The sequence below is a fragment of the Homo sapiens genome, chromosome 11, assembly GCF_000001405.40.
Source record: "Homo sapiens chromosome 11, GRCh38.p14 Primary Assembly".
NCBI classification, from domain to species: Eukaryota; Metazoa; Chordata; class Mammalia; order Primates; family Hominidae; genus Homo; species Homo sapiens.
The window spans coordinates 11,333,870-11,349,265 of NC_000011.10; the positions used below are offsets into that span (position 1 = coordinate 11,333,870).

Sequence of the window (15,396 nt, forward strand, 5' to 3'; positions counted from 1 at the left end):
TGGCTGAGAAAAAGCTGATGCAAAAGCAGAGGCTGCCGAGGGGTCCATCCTCTGGGGATCTGAAGAAGACCCAGTGCATCTCAGAGGATGACACCATGGCAGGGATGAAGGCCAGCAAGCAGATGGGGCATGTGGCATCCCATAAGATGCCAGCCCAGAGTGGAGGGCAGATGAAGAAGTGGAACTCTCTCTCACCGACACTGTGGTCCATATGCTCTCTTTGTGAATCCCTGGTTCAAACATCAACTCCAGGGATTGAGTTACTGAGGTTGGGCAGATTTTGTCTAAAATATCTGAGAAAGATCACAAAAATGGCTGCATTTATCTGGACACAAACAGGGCAAATTTTTGACATCAGACAATGTGGGCTTGAGTGAAAACACAATTTAGGGGCCAGGCGCAGTGGCTCACACCTGTAATCCCAGCACTTTGGGAGGCCAAGTCAGGCGGATCACAAGGTCAGGAGTTTGAGACCATCCTGCCGAACATGGTGAAACCCCGTCTCTACTAAAAATACAAAAAAATTAGCCGGGCATGGTGGCGGGCGCCTGTAGTCCCAGCTACATGGGAGGCTGAGGCAGGAGAATGGTGTGAACCCAGGAGGTGGAGCTTGCAGTGAGCCGAGATCGCACCATTGCACTCCAGCCTGGGCGACAGAGCAAGACTCCGTCTCCAAAAAAAAAAAACCAAAAAACACAATTTAGATATAAAAGAGATAGATTCCTTTTTGCCCACAAGAGTTCAGGCAATATAAAAATTTGAACCTGCTACAGCCTGAAGGTTAAAGTTCTAGAACGACAAGGAGCTATTTCAGCTTCCTAGTACTTCTTAATGACCTCATCCGTGACTTGTCTGCTGCACACTCCTGCCCAGAGCCTTCTCTGCAACTGTTATCCTAGCCTTTCTCTGCTGGACTCCGGCTCCTTAAGGTCAGGAAACTTCCATCAGACTCACCTCTGTGCCCCCAGGCCTAGCACTGAGCATGAGCTACTCTGCTGGGTGAAGAAAATATTTATGAAGTGGTGAACACAGGAACTGGCAGTAGATGTAATCTACCTTCCACTCCGACCCTAAAGCATTCATTAAGTATTAACCCTTCACACTCCATGGTACTTTATCCTTATATCAGAAAACTGTGTCCCAGGACCCATTCATTCCTTCTCCCTTCATGTTATAATTGTCTTTATGTGACTAAATTTAACACTGTGTCTGTTTTATAGGGAGCCAGTAGAAGAACCTGTCTCACAAAGGCCTCTGTGTTTTCCTAAACTTCTGGGTTCCCACAGGAAAAGTTTCTTTCTGCACTTAGGAACAGGGCAAAGTTTGCCTCCCTCCATACGATCGAGTAAAAGATGAGAGAGGTACAATCCACCAGGTGGCCATCTCCTGCTAGGAAGCTCAAGAACTAGCCCTTTGTTCAGCTTATCTTTCTGAATATCAAGTCCCCTTCCCCTTCCTGTGTATTAATTGACTTTTGCCTTTCCATTTTAATAGTTCAGCATATCTGCCCTGTGTGTTTACTATAAATTTCATCAAACCCATCTTCAAAGCAGGAGGCATATATTGAGAAGAAAGTAAACCTTCTCTGAGAAGGTCACCTTGGCCCTTATTAGAAAACAATAAATGCATCTTCCTCTTTTGCCAAATACTTGGTGTAGTGAGTTGAATTGTGGCCTCCTCTAAAATTCATGTCTACCCAGAACCTCTAAATGGGACTTAATTTGGAACCAGGGTCTTTGCAGATATAATTAATTCAGGATCTCAAAATGAAATCATCCTGCGTTTGGGGCTTGCCTAAATTATGACTGTATGTGACTATATATGACTAAAATGACTGATATCTTTATAAGAGGAAAAAGAATGGTCTGGACACACATAGAGACAAAGAGGAGAAGGCCATGTGAAGACAGAGGCTGAGACTAAGGTGATACATCCACAACCAGGGACCCCCTCAGGGCCACCAGAAGCTGGCTGAGGCAAGGAAGGACTCTCCCCTCGAGATGCTGGAGGGAGCACAGCTCTGCTGGCACCTGAATGTTAGACTTCTGGCTTCCAGAACTGGGAGAGAATAAATTTCTGTTGTTTGAAGCCACCAAATTCATGGTAATTTGTTACCATAGCCCTAGGAAACAAATATATTAACTTAGCCACATAAAAAGTGCCCAGTATTGCAGCCACATAGTCACAAAATTCCTTGTAGCCAGACTTAAAGGAGGGCTATCACTGAAGCACATGACAAGCCATCCCTGGCACTCAGCCTGTCTTTGGGCAAGAGAAGCAGTCTAGAGCTCCTGAACCCTGCTTAAGAAAATATTGATGTTTTGCTGCAGACTGACTTTCTGTTTATTGATAAACAAACTGATTTTCAATTAAAGTAGCAGGATGCAAGAGGTGGAGGCTCTTCGACCTTTCAAAAGTTGGGGACTGGACCTGCTAAGGGAGCAGGTGAGAGGGCCAGTTCTGCTCAGTTCACAGTTCCGAGGAGGCCTCAGCTTAGAAGGCAACAAGCAGAGGATGTCTGTCCAGCATGAACATTTGAAAACTGTGGAAGGAAAGTACAGGGCATAAACGATCACATCACCGACAAGAGTTAACACTTACCTAGCGCTGTGTGCCAAGCACTGATCAAAGTCTTTACATGTATTAACTTATTTAATTCTCAAGGCAGCCACCTGGGAAGGGTTGAAGGGCTCCAGCTCCATATTTGCAGCTGGGATGCTGTAGACCAAAGGTTAAATTGGGAACAGATGTGCTTGCAGCTGAGGAAAAGGGATTGGGGCATAGCTATCTCAGAGGCAGGGGGTAAACCTCCTAGGGAAACTGTGTGAAGCATATAGCATCCATGCATCCTCCTTCTTTTCCAACTGACCTTTACCAAGCACCTGTTTATTATGTGTCAGACACTATCGTAAACACTGTGTATACAAATAGGAATATGTCACACTCTCGGCCTGAAACGAGAGTCTGGGAGTTTCAGACAAGTAAACATACTCTTTGTGAACAAGTGTGAGGCACGGAAAGAAGAGAAAGTGAAAGAGAGAATAGAAGAGGGGCCTCATTCTTCTTACATTGTGTGGAGGCCAGGATTGGGGGCAAAGGAGGAGGTAAACAGTCAAAGAGGGCTTCCTGGAGTAAGCAACACTTGTGGGTTTGAAAAAATGAGAAGGACTAGCTAAATGGGTGTTACACAAACCTGGCCACCCTAAACTCTCATCTGGAGGGCTTTTTGTAGATTCTGGCACCTACCGCTCAAAATCCTCTCTGAGGATGAGACCCAGATGAGTATTTTTTTAAAAGTTCTTCAAGCGATTCTGATGCAGTTGGTCTGAAGATCTGCTTTTAGGAGTCACTAACCAAGGGAGAGAGGGATTACTCACACTGCCAGCAAACTCACTCATTAATAAGCGTTAGCAAGGCGTCACCAAGCTCTTACCATGCGCCCTGCCTTGTGCTAGATATAATGACACAAAAATGAATAAAGCAGTCTGTCCTCAGAGAGCCCATGGTGTATTGTGGTGGTTCTCAGTGGTTCTGAAGAACTTTCCCAAAAAACAGATCCCAGAGGCCCCTTCCAAACCAGTTAAGTGGTAATCTGTGGGGGTGGAACCCAACTGATTTTGAAGTTCAGCCAGATTTGAAAGCCACTGTTCTAATGAGAGGGAGACTTTTAGATAACAGAACACTCTTTCACAGGCTGGTCATGCAATGACAGAGAGATATTTAGGAGGGGGAGCTCTTCCCCCAGTTGGAGCTGGCTTTCTAGAGGAGGGACCCCTGGAGCTGAGTCTCAAAGGATGGGGAAGATTTAGTAGGGGTGGTCATACAGGAAGAGGTAGAGGGTAGGGAATTCCAAGCAGGATGAACAAGCACCGAGGTGTGAGAAACAGCATGGCATGGACGGTATGTAATGGGCAGTTCCCATAGTCCACGCAACGTATGCAGACTTCAAAACAGGGAGTGGTAGGCAGTGGGATTAAAATACAGGCAGTGGGGTTAAAATACAGGCAGAGGAGAAAGCATGGGAACTTTTGATGCCATGCCAAACACTGGGCTTTGTGCTTGATTTTGTACATAGCAGGAGTCATTTAAAGATTTTTTTTTTTTTTTTTTTTTTGAGACAGTCTCGCTCTGTCACCCAGGCTGGAGTGAGTGCAGTGGCACGATCTCAGCTCACTGGGACCTCCGCCTCCCAGGTTAAAATGATTCTCTTGCCTCAGCCTCCTGAGTAGCTGGGATTACAGGCATGTGCCACCAAGCCTGGCTAATTTTTGTATTTTTAGTAGAGATGGGGTTTCACCATGTTGGCCAGGCTGTTCTTGAACTCCTGACCCCAAGTGATTCACCCACCTCAGCCTCCCAAAGTGCTGGCATTACAGGCATGAGCCACTGCGCCTGGCCTCATTTAAAGATTTTAAGCAGGGCGATGGCATGGTTGTTGTGAGTGTTTTAAAGATAACTTTGGGTATTGTAGAGGATAGATTTGAAGGAGATAAAGACTTGAGCCAGGAAAACCAGCTGAAGCTTGTGGCAGAGAAAAAAACAGGGCCTGAATGCAGACATGAGGGGAGGTCGGGGTGGGAAGGAGGGCTTGTGATTGACTGGGACAGGGCATTGAGAGAGAGGAAGATTGAAGGATGATGTCATTTTCAAACTCATATGTCTGGAAGATGGTGGCACCATGAACTGAGACAGGATGAGAACAGGAGCAGATCTGGAGGAAGAAGATGGGTTTGGCTGGTCAGAGTCATTCTGAGTGCCTGTGGGAATGGCCAAGAGGAGATGTCCAGCTGGCAGTTGGAGATGTGAGTCTGAAAGTGAAGGCAGAAATCAGGGGTAGAGATATTAATTAGGAAGGCAGCATATGGGTGGGAGTCCAATGCAAGAGTAGATGATATTACCCAGGGAGATGCGGAATAATGAGAGCAGTCTGCCAAGGATGGATCCCCCATGGAGCATGTAAGCACCCAGTGAAGGTAAGAGGAGCCCTTGAAGAGTTAGGAATAAATGGAGAGAGATAAGATTCCAGGGTGTGGAATCATGGACCCAAGGAGCTACAGAGATTCAAGGAAAAGGTGAAATCCTATAGGTTAAAGACCTTAAAATGTCCATTAAATTAAGCATTTGGGAGGCCTATGTTGACCTTGACAAAGCAGTCTTGATGAAGTATCAGGATATAGCTTGGGAGAAGGATTGGGAGATGAAGAAATATTGACTCTGTACAAGTTTGATAAGAGGAAGGAGAGGACATTTGGACACAGGGAACAGGAGAGGAAAGAGAATTATTTTCGGAAACACACTGATCCTTTCCTTCTCCACCTAAGGCTTTATCCTGGGCAATTCCACCTCTTACCTGTCTTGTGTTCACTTCCCCCTACCCATTTGATTTGAACTACCACCTTGAGGAGTCGCAGACAGACACTGAATTTCATCATTTTTCAATTATTTTCACTCACTCAGTTCTCTACCATTCATTGGGTTGCTGGGCATTTCAACACCTGTCAGCTGCAAGGGGGAGAGGGCTAGAAGTTTTGCAGCTCTGGGGTACAGAGAGAAGGCAGTAAGAGTATGCTCACTCACCAGTCCTAAGCAGAACCTGGGGACCTGCTATGCCTCACTGGTGAGCTCCTGGGGAGTTTCCAAGTGTTCTTAATATTTTGCCATCACAGGACACCTACCACAGGGCTTGGCACCCCGTGCAGAATACCGTGATTCAATCCTGACCATGAGTCCAGAAGGTAATGCAGTTCCCCAGAAACACTCTTACTGTCAGGAATGCAATCCCGGGCTGGTACATTAGAGTTGGCTGCACTCTGGCTGATATTTCTCCGCTCCTCATTCTTGCTCCCAACTGCTGAAACCTCACTGATTGTGGGAGTATGCAACCCAACTCAAGTTCCCCTCTCCTACGGTGGTGGTGTGGCTGGGAGGTGGGCTAAAAGCTCCCACCCATGAACCAGTCAACTTCCTCAATCATTTAACCAGAGCAACATTAGCTTGGTGTAGAGTTTAGGTAACAGGGCTTTCATATGATCACTTTGAGCGAAGATCAATCACTTCCCCATTAGAAGCTTCCTAAAGGACTCCAAAAGGGATTGCCATGGCCTTGGGAGGAAAGAATGAGGTCATGTAGTCAATAGCTCTGATAGCTCTGTCTCACACAGAATGCAACATAAGCAATGAACTCTAGGCAGACAGGCTGGTAAGTGGGTTGGAATCATGTGGCTGGCATCTCTCAGTAGTAGAGCTGGGTTCTCTCAACTCAGTAGTCCAAGGTCATTTCCACATGTTTCACCTTGACACATGGCAGGGCTAAACAAAACTACCAGAGAAGCATTGCTTTTCCTCTGGCATTTCTTAAGTACAGGTGACCAGAGGGATAGAGGACAGTGGCAGGCAATGATGAGGCTCTGTGAAGGTTAACTCCATCTCCTAGTGAAGGTCCCTGTAGGTGTGCCCCCATCCCCATACACGTGGCTCAAGAAACCTGAAAGGCATGTGGATCTTTATAACTCTGGTCAAAGGTTCAATGGAGAAGTTTGAACCTAATCTGTAGGAAGATTAAGATGCTTTTTGTAAATTTTTGTAGTTACTGGTATATTTGTAATCCAGGACCATGAAACATCTAATGTCAGAGAAGCTGAGGACCTGGGAGCATGAAGGAAACTTGAGCTACCTGTCCAACTTTCTCATTTAAAATTAGGACACTAAGATCCAGAGAGAAGTCCTCATCAAGCATGCTGACCAGGGATTAGGGTAGCAGGATAAGAAATGGCTTAGAGCCTCATGGCCCCTTTTCTTCAGCAAATAATATGTTTTGGGGTTGAGAGTCCATTCTTGCATGGCAAACAGGACTCTGGCTGACCCATAGGAAGAAGGGTTCGGTCCCATATCTTGTTTTGTTTGTTTTCCACCAATCCCCGAGAAACTCATCCCTACCGGAGATCCCTACCTCCTGCGGTATGTTCCATGCCATGTAGACGTGGCTTTTAAATTCATCCATCCAGACTTCAGCCACCCTGAGAGCGTTCCTGCGGACATGGGCGGTGAGGTCCTCTGTGTAGGGCTTGTGGGCTCGCTCAATGTGGGCAATCCGTGAGCAGGGCAGGACCTCCACACTCCCGCCACACTGCCACACCTGCAGAAGACATGGAGCCACTTGTCAGAGCCTGCCTGGCTCTGCCTTTCTACACCAGGCCTCAGGCAGCCACTTGACATGAGCAGGAAGAAAGTCAGCCCCTTCACCTTGACTCCCCAGATCACTCTCTGTGAAGGAGTAGGCCATACCTGATTTCTGCTCCTATAGCAGCAGGATGGCTATGGAGTCATTAATTCATATATTGGCTCTTATTGCTGTGGATTTACCAACAAAAAAAATGAATGCACTTTTTCCCTCCACCTGTGAGCCCTACCCCACCAAAAAAAGAGACCAGACATTTTGTTCCAAAGATCTGAATTCTCCTTGCACTTGGGGGAGAAGTTAACAAAACCCTTGATGATAGTCTGCAGCAGTGGTTGACATAAAGGAGAACCAGCAAGACTCCCAGCAGAGACTTCCTCTTCAAATGGACCACATGGGCCTGGACAAGAATTAGTGATCACCACAGAGAAGGGTGTCACCAGACACCCTTCTTCTAGTGCATCTTTCCGAGGCTCTGGGTTCTGACTGAATCTGAGGGAGAGCGCTGCAAAGAAGGAAATGATATTAAACTTCTTAGCAACCTTGGTGAATAGGAGATTGATCCGAATGCAATTAGATTTTGAAAGATAAACCTTTGCATTCTAAGTGTTAATGGGCAGCATCTCAAAGCTCTCGCTACAATCTTTCCAGCCATCCTGACCTTTCAATGTTCCTGAACTTGCACTCTTTTGTGCTTCTAGGCTTTGCTCCATTCTGCTGGTAATTTTAGAATGCCCCACTGCCCCCAACTCCTTCTTCAGCTGAAAAAATTCACCTCTCAAGACCTTGATCAGGCTGGGCACAGTGGCTCACACCTGTAATCTCAGCACTTTGGGAGGCTAAGGTGGGAGAATCGCTTGAGCCCAGGAGTGTGAGACAAGCCTGGGCAACATAGTGAGATCCTGTCTCTAAAACATTAAAATTTTTTTTTTTTTAAAAAGACCTTGACTATATGGCCCCAACATTGTGGAGTCTTTGCTCGATATTCAGAGTAGAGCCAATTTCTCCCTCCTCTGGCCCCCACAGCCCTTGATATCACAACTTACCTGCTTATAGGTCAGCCTCACTCACTGATCGTGTATTCCTGGAGGGCAAAACCTATATCTCACTCACTCACCTAACAAAAGGCCAAGTACGTAGAAGTACTTTATAAGTACTTGCTGAATAAATAAATGATAGATGCTTCATCAGTCAATCAATCAATGTATAAATGGCTGACATTTACTGAATTTCAGGTGAATCTGAAATACCTGGTTAGAGCTGATGAATGTGGCTTCTGAGGGAAAGTAATCAAGATCTCCTGGTGGACAGTAGATATTACTTGCCAGATACTGTCAACATCACCATGAACTTGGTAGATGAAGTTCAGATATATAACATGTACCCATCAACAACAATAAGTCTGGGATAAAGCCAGATTTGGATTTAGCTTGTTTTCCCTGTGTTAGTTAGGAAGGGAATGCCTTCCCTTTCACCCATCCATGTCACACCAGTTGGCCCCTATAGGCTCTAGGCTGTTGGAGTTGGAAGGTGGCTTACTGATTTATCACTCACTTAAGCTTGTTTTGCCTTGAGTTTATAACTTAGGACCAATAGAAAGGAAACTAACATCCTCATTGAGCGTCTCCTATGTGCCAGGCACTGGACTGTACATTCAGGAAGGCAGCAAAACATGGTGGGTGGGTTATGAACAGGGCTGGCCATGAGACTACTCAGGTTCACATCCTGGCTCTGCTCCATGCCTACTATGTGACCTTGGGCAAGCCACTTGATCTCACTGTGCTTCTGTTTCCTCCTCTCCATGGGGATCATGAGTACCTATCTATCTCAGAAGGTCACTGAGAAAATTAAAGCAATTACATGCAACGTGCTTAAAAAATGCCTGGTGCATAATAAGCATGTGGTCATTCTTAGCTATTACTATCAAGCTGAACAGCAGAATCTTTAGAATCACCCTGTGAGGCAGTTATTATGCCCAATTCCAAGTGAGGAAGTGGAAACTAAAGAACGTCCCTTGCCAGTTGCGGTGGCTCACGCATGTAATCCCAGCACTTTGGGAGGCTGAGGTGGGTGGATCACTTGAGCTTGGGAGTTTGAGACCAGCTTGGGTAACATGGTGAGACCTCATCTCTGCTGAAAATTTCAAAAAAAGTTACCCGGGCGTGGTGGCACGTGCCTGTAGTCCCAGCAACTTGGAGGGTTGAGGCAGGAGGATCGCTTGAGCCCAGGAGGTGGAAGCTGCAGTGAGCCCTGATGGTGTCACACTGCACTCCAGCCTAGGCAACAGAGTGAGACCCTGTCTCAAAAAATAAAAAAAATAAAAAATAATAATAAAAAAAAGGAAGGTCCCTTGCTCAAGAACACACAGCTGATACTTAAGACAAAAGGATCTGTCTGATCCCAAAGAAACTCAACGAAGAGCCAACACTTCCCCCACGATGATCAAGCTTTGAAAGGAGTTCCCACATCCAGGAATGGTTCTGAGGATCATGAGAAGGTGGCGGTGAAGGCCCCAGGCTGTGCACCTCCATTCCCAAGACCTGTACATTCTGGGGACAGTCCTGATTTCCAATTCACTTTGCTCAGGTTCTCTATGAAAGCCTGTGAATCCCATGAAGAAGTTATTGACAACACAAAGAGTCAGGGTAATGATTCTTTTTGCCACTGGAACAGTGGCTATTGCTTGACATATTTCAACAATACAACACAGAGCATGAGTCGTAGCAAAACTCTTTTATTACAAGACCTGCTTCTTAAAGAGTAGGTTCACCATTTCACCTTAGAGTGGGCACATCTGCCGTCATTCTAATCAGAATGGTGGTGCGGCTCCTCCCATCGTGCCTTTAGACACGGTACAAGGAGCGGCATGACTGTCCAGCACCTGAATTCACTCCCCTCTTCCCATCCCTGCAGCCACCTCCCTTGTCTAGGCCGTCGTCATCATCTCTCATTTGGACTCTGCCACAGACTCCAAACACCTGACCTCCCTCTTCCCATATTCCTTCTCCAAGCTCTTCTCCACTCAGCAACTGGAGTGATTGAAGGTGTAAGCTGGACCACTGCCTCTCCTGCACCATGCCCCTGGCACAGCCCCTGATCTGGGCTTGCCCCCCACCACCCCTCCAGCCCTGACCTTGTGCTCCCCAATACACTCTCTGCTACAGCCTCTATGCTGTAGCCACGCTATTTTTTTTACTTCCTCTCACATGGGTCTTTTTCCCCTCACCTCAGACTTCTGCACATGCAATGACGTACCCAACCCTGCCTGCCTCCCTGACTCATCCTCCAAGCCTCAGTTCACTGTCACTTTGCTGCACCCCCTTCCGCTAGGTTTACCTGGTGTGCTGTGTGGTCCTGCCTTGTTCCCTGAACTAACACCATTGCAATTGCTTGTTTAATCACCTCCTTCCCTCTTGCAAAATGTTCTCAAACTTGTCACCAAATTGTCCCTTAGACACGTGCTAAATGGTGCTCAAAAGAGATCCTGGGTTCCAGGGGAGGTGGGGCATCTGGGCCAGGTGGGAGTAGCATGTCGCACTTGAAAGCACAGCTTTGGAGTCTGTGGGAACTGGATTCACATTTGTCCTCTGTCACCTGCTGCTGTGTCACCTTTGGCAGGTTACTTCCCTCCCAAGCCTCATTTCCGCCCTGTGGGTGAGGGGATGCAGTGTGGGTAAGTGTTTAACACTGAGCCTACCTCAGTGTGAGCACTATGTGGATGGCGGTCAAGGAAGCAAAGACACCCTGAACATGGGGACAGGCCATCTGGGCCAGATCTGGCCTCACCGAGTGCTTGTGGAGTGGTGTCGGGCTATGTAACCTCTTGGCTAACAAACACCCATGACAATGGATACCACACCAGGCTGTGGGCTCAGGGAGCCCCTGCTGAAGTGCTCAGGATACTGGAAGCCCTCAGTCTGTGTGTGTGCCTATTATTATTTCATAATAATTTAATAATTATTACGTTGCTGCTATTTGGACGGTCCTGTACACCCACCTTTGGGGAGCAAACAGGCCACAGAAGACAGGGTTCTTCCCAAATGCCCAGCCCAGCAGAGGGGTACACAACGCTCCCTTCTCAGAGACAGGGAGCACTGGTCAACATTTCCAGTCTCCTCCCTTCTATGAAAGGGCACTCATCTATAGAGAAGGTAACAGCTTCTGCCTTGGCCATGGCATTTGGGTTCTTGGCAGCATCTGGGCTTTGCAGCCAGAAGATGTGGACTCAGCATGTTTACCCTGCCACTTCTGGACCCTGCCCAGTGGCACTGAAGCAAACAAGAGAAAGCCTGTGCTGGCTGACTCCTGGGAGATAAGTGGCTCCACTGACCAGTGGCTTGACCCAAGAGAGAATTTCAAAAGTCATACCCACAGCTCATCTCAGAGGCCCTCTGGGATGGTAGACAAAGGATAAGAAAGGAAGTCACTGGCATTTGGACCTCATGGTGAATGACATCATGGAGCTTCTGTGGAGGATTGGGAGGGGCAGGGGATAAGGAAGGGAGAGAAAGGGAGCTGGGCCTGGCACATTAAATGTCCAATTTGCAAATGGCACGATAGAGCAAGCCCCAAACCAGAGGGAGGATATACACAGGAAGGCCTGTGCTGGGGAAGCAGGGCAGCTGGACAGGGGATGAAGTGTGGGTACAGGGATGGCTTGGCATCCTGAGCTCTCGTAGACAGAGATGCCTAGGGAGAGACGGCAGGTAGCTGGGTACCAAAGGGGTGCCTGAGAAATGAACACCAAGGGTTGGAAACAGAGAAGGCAGGTGTGGTCGCAGGGAACAGGGCACAGGAAGAAACCACCAAGATGTAGACCCTAATTTACACATACGATGGTGAGGGCATGTGCTGAGTCCTGCAGGCACTGGGCATACTTGACGGCACATCAGCACAAGGCTGGGTCCTGAGGCTTCTGACGGGCACTGAGCAACACGTTCCTTGACTACACTAAGTTCTTTCTTCTCTCTGTGCCTTTGCACCTGCTATCGCACGTCCTGAATAATTTATCCCCCACTTACGACCCAGCTCAAATACGACCTCTTTTGATTTGCCCAGTGTAAATTAGATCCCCTCTGAATATCTTTAGTGCCCTGCCTTTTTCTTCATAACACTTACTCAAAATACTTTTACTTCTGTACTTATTCTTTAAATGTCTGTCTCCCTTCACTGGACTATAAGTGCCATGGAAACAGGATCGTGTCTGTGTGTTTACCACTGTATACATCAGCACCTGCCACTTAGTCTATATTCAATAACTATTATTTGAATGAGTGAATCTAGGAATCTGAGAGTCCTGGGCTTTCACTGACTATACAGGCATGGTTTTAACTAGCTCAGCGGGATGCCCTAATAAAGGTCATAAACATAAAATGTGGCTAGATTTTACTGAACACAATGACTTTCTTCAAACTCAAGTGGTTTTTCAGCAAAGCTCTGACATTTAAGCGCATACTGCTGCAATCAAAGAGAGTTACTTGGGCTGCAGAGCTTAAATTAATGTCGTAAAACCTAGGAAGTCATCAAATGAGCACAGGCGATAGCAGGCAGCTTCCTCTTGTGGAACCATGAACTCACTGGAGAGAAAGGCTCCAACCTCACAAAATGCTCAGATATGCCTACAGAGGAGCTGCTGGGACCACCTCCCACATGTGGCCAAGACCCTAAAGTGGATTGTAGAGAACAGTTACCTGGGGCAGAGCAAAATCACACTCACCACCGGCCCTTCCCAGAAAACCCTAGTACTGTTATCGCTTCTGAAGAGGCTTGAAACACCCACCCAGAAATACAAGAAAGCATGGAGGTCTTAGGGGCTGGTGGAAAGGGTTTAAATCCTGGCTCTGTCATATATTAGTCTTTGACTTGGACCTGTCTTTGGATGTCAGCTTTTTCTTGGGAATAATGATTCCCCAGGTTTAAAAGAGATGCTGTATATGACAAGCTCCCACGAGCAAAGGCGGGCATGTAGTGGGTTCTCAGGGAGGCTCAGATCACTTTCTTATCCCAGGCTGAGGAGCCACTGGTACAAGGTCAGGGTTACATCTTGTATTGGCCACTCACACAAACAAGCCTCCTGCTCCCAAGCCTCAATTTCCCCCAGCTGCCAAATGGGGGAGCTGGACTCAATGTTGTCTTAGGTCCCCTCTACTTTTTGTATTCTGTGATTTTGCATTTTCTAGCCAGTGCCTCAAATGATGCCCAGTACTTGAGACACAACTGAGAGTTGTAAATTGGGTTAAAATAGGGACACATAGTAGACAAAGCAATGGGATGTAGTTTGATAATCTCTTCTACTCCAAGACTCATGACTGCTCCATAGTCTATGACAGGGATGGCAAATGAGTTTACACTCCTGTGTGAAATCCATTTGCTTGTTAATATCCTTCTGAAGCACTGTGTTGGGAAGAATTCTGAGGCTCTGTCCAGTCTCAGTGGAGAAGTATGCCACAATTTATTCATTACGGTTACCATGGGTAAGGGACTGGGGTTGGTGGCACTTCAGCCTTGTACTTCATAGCCACATCCACAAGATCAGATCTCAGATACTGTGCAGCTTTCATCTTCTTATGACTTTTAATGAGCTCTTTGCTCTTGGCAAACTGTTCCCACTGTTCTCTTAGCCCAGAAAGCCTCCTTCCTGCTCTCCACATCCATCCAAAGCCGGCCTGGCCCAGCTCCTCCAAACTCTTGGAACTAATGACTTGTACGACTCATGTGGTCCTTATTTCTTGGCTCATGTGGTTAATTATCTTTTTACGTGTAACTGTCTCGCCTAACTTGGCTGCAAAAGCAGAGACAAGAGTGAAAAGCCAAAACCAGCAGGCTATGGGGAGGAAGACGAGGTGGATGCAGGCTGAGGCTGAGGGCTGGGGAGAGCTGGCAGAAGACCAGAAAGTCACTCGCAGAGTGGCTGAACGGTCAGAGATGTAGGCAAATAATAGGGGTGGGCAGGACACTGACACTCCAGGCATCCTCCAATTTTGTACCCTGGGCATTTCACTCACCTCATTCTATCCTGGCTCTGCATGGGAATAAGAAAGAGAAGAGAGGGCCGGGCATGGTGGCTAACGCCTGTAATCCCAGCACTTTGGGAGGCTGAGGCAGGTGGATTACCTGAGGTCAGGAGTTCGACACCAGCCTGGCCAACATGGTGAAACCCCATCTCTGCTAAAAATACAAAAATTAGCTGGGCATGGTGGCGGGTGCCTGTAATCCCAGCTACTCAGGAGGCTCAGGCAGGAGAATCGCTTGAACCCAGGAGGCGGAGATTGCAGTGAGCCAAGATCGCGCCATTGCACTCCAGCCTGGGTGGCAAGAGCAAGACTTCGTCTCAGGAAAAAAAAAAAAAAAAAAAAAAGGAAGAGAGGTCAAATCTGGACAAGGCCAACACAAAAGCCAGAGGCCATCAGCAAGTCAGGTTCAGGGCGTGCAACAGAGCAGCCAGGATGAAGACAATGTCAGTGTGGAGATAACCTCCCTCCAAAATATCTCACTCCCACACTGGTAACCTTTAGTCTCCAGATAACAGCACATTCCTTAACATGGTTTGCAAGACCTCTGAGAACTGGCCCTGTCTCTTTCCTGCAGCCTCATCTCTCATGCCATCTAGTTATGTCCAGTTATGCCATGGACATAGGTGGATCACATTCTTGGGTTTCTGTCCCCTCTTTCTGCCACTCTCTTTACTGGAAATTCCCATGCCCCTACCACGTATACACTTATTTCCCTTGCTAATTCCCACCTACCTTCCCTGGCTGCCCTAGTTTTGGCTCATGCCTTGGCTATGCATTCCTATATCACCTGTAAGTCCTCTTGCACAGTATGTGTGATAACTCTGTGTGTGTGTGCAGCTTAAAGACACATAGTACAAAGAACAACTGTTGATCTTCCACCCCCCTTAAGAAGCAATGCTTTGGCAGTACCTTAGAAACCTCTGAGTGCTTTTCCTTACCCCCAGAGGTAACCCATTATCCTGAATTTTTTTAATAATTTCCTTGCCATAAACCTACACTGCACATTGTTTAGTTTTGCCTGTTTGTGAACGCTATATAAATAGAACCAGATTGTACACATCCTGCAACTTGCTTCTTGCTTCATTTATTTTCATCACCATAGTGTTCCATTGTATAAATATGCAGTAATTTATTTATGCTCTCTTTAGTTGGTCGACAGTCTTGTTTCCGGTATTACGGATGGTGCTCCTCGGAACGCGCTTGTAT

At 47.0% G+C, this 15,396-nt stretch overlaps 1 protein-coding gene across 2 annotated transcripts in view; it reads right to left on the reverse strand.

The window, feature by feature from the left end:
• Positions 1 to 15,396, reverse strand: part of GALNT18 (polypeptide N-acetylgalactosaminyltransferase 18) — a 351,129-nt gene that overhangs the window by 62,993 nt on the left and 272,740 nt on the right. The window contains exon 7 of one of the 2 annotated variants that reach the window (NM_198516.3): positions 6,950 to 7,135. The exons of the other annotated variant lie outside the window; for it this stretch is intronic. Within the exon in view, the coding sequence (NP_940918.2) occupies positions 6,950 to 7,135 (186 nt within the window). The remainder of the gene's footprint in view (positions 1 to 6,949; positions 7,136 to 15,396) is intronic. 2 annotated transcript variants of the gene reach the window in all.